The sequence below is a fragment of the Homo sapiens genome, chromosome 22 (assembly GCF_000001405.40).
Source record: "Homo sapiens chromosome 22, GRCh38.p14 Primary Assembly".
Taxonomy (NCBI): Eukaryota; Metazoa; Chordata; class Mammalia; order Primates; family Hominidae; genus Homo; species Homo sapiens.
The window spans coordinates 17,303,276-17,309,275 of record NC_000022.11 but is presented as its reverse complement, the minus strand read 5'-3'; the positions used below and the strand labels follow the sequence as shown (position 1 = coordinate 17,309,275).

The window sequence follows — 6,000 nt, the reverse complement described above, 5'->3', positions numbered from 1 at the left end:
GCATACATGTGCATGCATAAATAAGTACACACACATGCATATACATATGTATGTGTGCGCATATGCATACACGTCCATACACGTGTACATATATGTGCATGTGTGCGTGCATACACACATGTACATACATATGGATACATACACATGTATACATATACATGCATGCAGGCACATGTATACATGCATACATACACATGTATTTAAGCCAGAGATTGCACACTGGTGCCCTAAGAGCTGGATATTGGCCCAGATGTGTTTTCTTTGGTCTACATTAAATTTTTTTTTTCCTTTTTGAGACAGAATCTTGTCCTGTCACCCAGGCTGGAGTGCAGTGGCTTGATTTCGGCTCACTGCAACCTCCACCTCCCGGGTCCAAACGATTCTCATGTCTCAGCCTCTTGAGTAGCTGGGACTACAGGCATGAGCCACCACACCCAGCTAATTGTTGTATTTTTAGTAGAGATAGAGTTTCACCATGTTGGCCAGGCTGGTCTCAAAGTCATGACCTCAAGTGATCCACCCACCTCGGCCTCCCAAAATGCTGTGATTACAGGCGTAAGCCACAGTGCTCGGCCTGTATTTAAATTTTTAAATATTATTTATTTAACAAACACATGTAGCATTTACTATGAATTCATTTAATCCTCATAATAGCATCATAAAGTAGGCACTATTAATAGCTTCTTTTACTGATGAGAAAATTTAGGCACAGAGAAGTTAAGTAATTTGCCCAAGGACACAGCTAATAAGAGCCAGGATTTGGACCAGGCGTGGTGACTCATGCCTGTAATCCCAGCATTTTGGGAGGCCAAGGCAGGAAGATCATTTGAGCCTAGGAGTTCAAAACCAACCTGGGCAACATGGTGAGACCTGTCTCTACAAAAAGAAAAAAAAATCTATATATAGATAGATAGATAGATCTAGATAGATAGATAGATATAGATAGATAGATAGATATATCTATATATATAGTGGGGCTCCTGTTTGAGCCCAGGAATTGGAGGCTGCAGTGAGCTACAATCTCCACTGCTCTCTAGCTTGGGCAACACAGCCAAAACCCTGACTCAAAAAAATAAAAAATTAAAAAAAAAAAGAGACAGGATTTGAACCCTAATTTCCTACTTCTCACTTATTGCTAAAGTTCTTCTGATCCATTACTGAACTTTAAAAATTAGAGTACTTTACACAATATCCCGATTTTTTGCCTCTCTGAGAAAATTGAGAAATCTGGCAGCATTGTAGCTGTCCTTTCCCCACATGCAGCTGTGGTCGGCCATTGCACTGGATGGGACATGGGCTCTGGTTCATGAGAGTTCCCAGCCAGCCCTCAAACATTTATATTACCTGCCTGCCCCGGCCCCTGTAAGATACCTGTGTTTTCTTTTTTTTGAGACAGAGCTCGCTGTCTCGCCCAGCTCTGGGCCACAGCTCAGTTGCAAAACGACATTCCCCTTGCCTTCTTCCTTCTGCTGCACCCCAGGCACCTGAAACCTTATCCCTACCCTACAGAACAGTCTTCAGAAAATGGTCAGGTCAGCTTTGCAAGGAGAAGATGGCGGTGATTAGGCGAATTACCTCATCTTTCTGGGACTCAAACGCCTCACTGACGAGAGGGGCGAAAGTGATGGGATTTCACTTCCCAGACTGGACTAAAACTCTAGCTCACATCTTGACTGCAACCTAAGGAGAGGCCACCTAAGCCATGCCTGGATTCCTGACCCTTAGAAACAGAGAAAAAATGAATAATTATTGTTTTAAGCAGCTCTCTTTCTTTCTTTCTTTCTTTCTTTCTTTCTTTCTCTCTCTCTCTCTCCCTCTCCCTCCCTCTCTCTCTCTCTCTTTCTTTCTTTCTTTCTTTTTTGAGACGGAGCCTCGCTTCGTCGCCCAGGCTGGTGTGCAATGGCACAATCTCGGCTCACTGAAACCCCGCCTCCCGGGTTCAAGCGATTCTCCTGCCTCAGCCTCGCTAGTAGCTGGGATTACAGGCATCCACCACCACGCTTGGCTAATTTTTGTATTTTTAATAGGGACGGGGTTTCACCATGTAGGCCAGGCTGGTCTCAAACTCCCGACCTCAGGTGCTCTGCCGGCCTTGGCCTCCCAAAGTGTTGGGATTACAGGAGTGAGCCACTGCGCCTGGCCTTGCAGCTCAATTTCTAATCATCTATTACACAGCAATAGATAACTGATAATACTCTGTGAGCTGACAATATTGACAAGAATGTGATTCCACATTCTTGGGCCATGGTGGGGAAGGTCTGATGTGCTCTCTTCCTGTTAGTTAGTACTCTCTATTCAAAATATTAGAACACACAGGAGAGGAAATAAGCGTCAAGAGCAACTTGCCCCAGGTCCTGCAGCTCCTCATTGGTGGACCCAGGATTCAAACCAGGCAGTCTGATTCCAGAGAAAAAGTCTTAGGCACTGTTAGCTACTGCTAGTCAACAACCATCACCGGCATACTTTTGGCTGATTGCAGAGTAAAGAAGACAGGAAATATACCCCCAACAAATCACAGTGGGATTTGTTTATCAGCAAACATTAGGGCTCCCTACTGTGCAAGGCTCTTCAGGCCACCAGAGCTATTTCCAGTGCCAGTGTCTAGAACATCCCAGAGAAAACAGTAGAAAATACTACCTTCATTCTCCAGCTAAGTTTTCTGATATATTTTCCAGATCAACACACAAAGACAATTGATCTCGAACCAGCTTCCTACACTATCTTGGTGAGTTTGGTGTTTCTTTGCTGATAAGGGAACTCTTAAAAGGGAGTAATGGGGTCCGGGTGCAGTGGCTCACGCCTGTAATCCCAGCACTTTGGGAGGCCGAGGCAGGTGGATCACTTGAGGTCAGGAGTTCGAGATCAGCCTGGCCAGCATGGTGAAACCCCATCGCTACTAAAAATACAAAAATTAGCTGGGCATGGTGGCACGCACCTGTAATCCCAGCTACTCGGGAGGCTGAGGCAGGAGAATCGCTTGAACCTGGGAGGCAGAGGTTGCAGTGAGCTGAGATCACGCCACTGTACTCCAGCCTGGGCGACAAAGTGAGACTCTGTCTCAAAAACAACAACAACAACAAAAATGAAGAGTAATGAGACTGTCACCCAGAAACTGCTCTTTCACTTCAAAGTTAGAAAACAAACAAACAACAAACAAAAACTTCAGGTCTGGGCACGGTGGCTCACACCTGTAATCCCAGCACTTTTGGAGGCCTAGTCAGGAGGATCACTTGAGGTCAGGAGTTTGAGACCAGTCTGGCCAACATGGCGAAACTCCATCTCTACCAAAAAATACAAAAAAAAAAAAAAAATAGCTGGGTGTGATGGCGGGCACCTGTAGTCCCAGCTCCTTGGGAGGCTGAGGCACGAGAATCACTTGAACCCGGGAGTCAGAGGTTGCAGTGAGCCAAGACTGTGCCACTACACTCCAGCCTGGGTGACAGAGTGAGACTCTGTCTCAACAACAACAACAACTTAAAATGCAAACAAACAAATAAAATACCCATTGGGTCAGACACTTCTCAGCCCCTTTTATATATTTTTTCTTTTCTTACATACTAGAGTGTTCCCCGAGAAAACTAAGAGTAACTGCTAAACCCTTCTTAATGCACAAATCTCCTCACCCTTTCTAATTAAAACTTTGAGCTTCCTAATAATAGGCCCCATAAGTTAAAGTGTCCAGAATTCTTAATCAGAGGCAGAGGCTGGTAAATTATTAGAAGTCATCTTGTTTCTCTTCCAGACATTTGGCCTTTGAAGATGATACCAGACTGTTATCTGAACAAGCAAAAAGCCCCAAAAACAATTAACGTGGTTCCAAGGGGATGATCAAATGCTAGGAGCAGGGAAGAGATCAACCTGACAGGGTAGAAGAAACTTAAGTCAGAGAAAAGGGGAGCCTCCCTGGCTGCCTCATTCTCCCTAGCTTCTCCTGTTCTCCGAAAGTAGCATGCCAGCTTGCCTTGGCAGGGTGGTGCTGGGAGGGCCTGAGAGCTGTGCACTTGAGCACTGGGCTCCGCAGTGGGGACTGGAGAGGCCTCCAGGGGACCATGATGCACTGTGCCTCTCAGGTAGTTCAGTAAGCATTTTCCTTAGAATTGAGCTCAACAATCTTAAAAAGTAATGCAATTATTATAAAAATATTAAGCTGTCAGGTGTGGTGGCTCACACCTGTAATCCCAGCACTTCGGGAGGCCGAGGCAGGTGGATCACTTGAGACCAGCCTGACTGACATGGTGAAACCTGTCTCTACTAAAAATACAAAAATTAGCCAGGCGTGGTGGTGCGTGCCTGTAATCCCAGCTTCCCAGGAGGCTGAGGCATGAGAATCGCTTGAACCCGGGAGGCAGAGGCTGCAGTGAGCCGAGATTGCAGCACTGCACTCCAGCCTGGGCGACAGAGCCAGACTCTGTTCACCCCACCTCAAAAAAAAAAAAAAAAAAGAAAGGCAAGGTATTTAGGTTCAAGATACTGTGACAGCTGCAGCTACTACCTACAACCGTGGTACATTCTACACTTGGGTCTTTCTGGCTTGGCACAAAGATTTGCGAAAATGACCCACTCTCTGAAAAATCATACAAAATGCCCCCAGTTTCGTTTTGATAGACTCGGGTTGTGTGCTAGTGCAGGGCACTCCTTGGCCTGGTGGAGGCTACTGGGATAAAGACAGGCACAGCCCTTGCCTCCAGGGCTTTCAGGTCAGTGGATTAAACAGCCTTGTCAGTGACGCAGTCCAATAGCAAGAGGATGAATGTCAGTCAGTGCCAAGCACAGGGTAAAACAGCACACCGAAGCAGCCTGGAGGAAGGAAGGGCCATGTCCACTACCAGGCTTGGAAGCATAAGTAGGATGTAGGCAGGCAGGAGTGGCTGGGGGATCCGCTGGGGAACAGCCACAAAGGCACAGAGTGCCAGAGAAGCCCGGGAGCCTCCAGGAGTCAGCAGCGGCCTGGGGACGAGAGGACGATTAGGACAGGTGACCATCACGGCCGTTCCTGGGTAACGAAGAACCCTCCTGTCCTGCTGGGACAAGGGGGGATGGGAGCTGGAAATGGCCACAGCCAGAGCAGCCAGGCTCTCCCATGATCATGAAGTCAGAGCCAAGCACACAGAGAGATCACAGTTTCTCCATGTCGAAGGGAAAGAGGCTGAAGAAGAAACCTCATCTACTCATGATGAAATACCCTTCACCCCTAACGTAGGCGTCAGCACTAGGAAAGTCCCTTACGCCGATGCTTCCTGTGGTTCCATTCTCACCACAATGTACCCACCTGCAGCCTGCGGGCCCACTTGTCCTCACTACCCCATGCTCTGCTCCAGCCTGTTTGGTCGGGAACCACATTTCCCCATCTCCCATGCTTTCTGGCTGTTGGGGGCACTGCAGAAGACTGGAGTGTGGGAGCCAGGAGGAAGGCAGGGTGTTCCTCCTCCTGCAAGGGCCCCATGTCGTGCAAAGGCAGTGTCTCCTGCACAGTTCCATCTCTAGTTGGACATCATCTCCCTTCCTGGTCCCAGCTTCCCTCATCACCTCCACCCACTAACACGGAACCCTGTCTTCAGGAGCCCGGCAACGTCATCTCCTACTGTGTCTTCCTAACCCTAGGAGTAGCAACGGCTTCCTGCGCTGTAAGTCCCTCAGCACCTGTGGAACCAGCTTGCTGCACTGGAGTGCCGATTTTCCTGGCTGAACACAAACTGATACGATGGAGAATACTGCTGCGGGAGGCGTGTCTTTGTCATATTATTCTTTGCTTAAAAAGTCAAGCGGGCCGCGTGTGGTGGCTCACGCCTCTAATCCCAGCACTTTGGGAGGCCAAGGCGGGTGGATCACCTGAGGCCGGGAGTTCAAGACCAGCCTGACCAACATGGAGAAACCCCATCTCTACTAAAAATACAAAATTAGCCGGGCGTTGTGGCGCATGCCTGTAATCACAGCTACTCAGGAGGCTGAGGCAGGAGAATCACTTGAACCTGGGAGGCAGAGGTTGTGGTGAGCCAAGAT

At 48.0% G+C, this 6,000-nt stretch overlaps 4 annotated features.

Annotated features, from left to right (window-relative positions):
• Positions 879–1,617: an enhancer, noted in NCBI's record as "H3K27ac-H3K4me1 hESC enhancer chr22:17788549-17789287 (GRCh37/hg19 assembly coordinates)". NCBI's record gives its function as "activates a minimal SCP1, AML or CMV promoter by ChIP-STARR-seq in naive H9 embryonic stem cells {active_cell/tissue: H9 hESC(naive)}" and the evidence as "EXISTENCE:reporter gene assay evidence [ECO:0000049][PMID:30033119]".
• Positions 1,618–2,356: an enhancer, noted in NCBI's record as "H3K27ac-H3K4me1 hESC enhancer chr22:17787810-17788548 (GRCh37/hg19 assembly coordinates)". NCBI's record gives its function as "activates a minimal SCP1, AML or CMV promoter by ChIP-STARR-seq in naive H9 embryonic stem cells {active_cell/tissue: H9 hESC(naive)}" and the evidence as "EXISTENCE:reporter gene assay evidence [ECO:0000049][PMID:30033119]".
• Positions 5,051–5,320: an enhancer, noted in NCBI's record as "active region_18621". NCBI's record gives its function as "activates an Ori minimal core promoter by ATAC-STARR-seq in GM12878 lymphoblastoid cells {active_cell/tissue: GM12878}" and the evidence as "EXISTENCE:reporter gene assay evidence [ECO:0000049][PMID:35858748]".
• Positions 5,391–5,510: an enhancer, noted in NCBI's record as "active region_18620". NCBI's record gives its function as "activates an Ori minimal core promoter by ATAC-STARR-seq in GM12878 lymphoblastoid cells {active_cell/tissue: GM12878}" and the evidence as "EXISTENCE:reporter gene assay evidence [ECO:0000049][PMID:35858748]".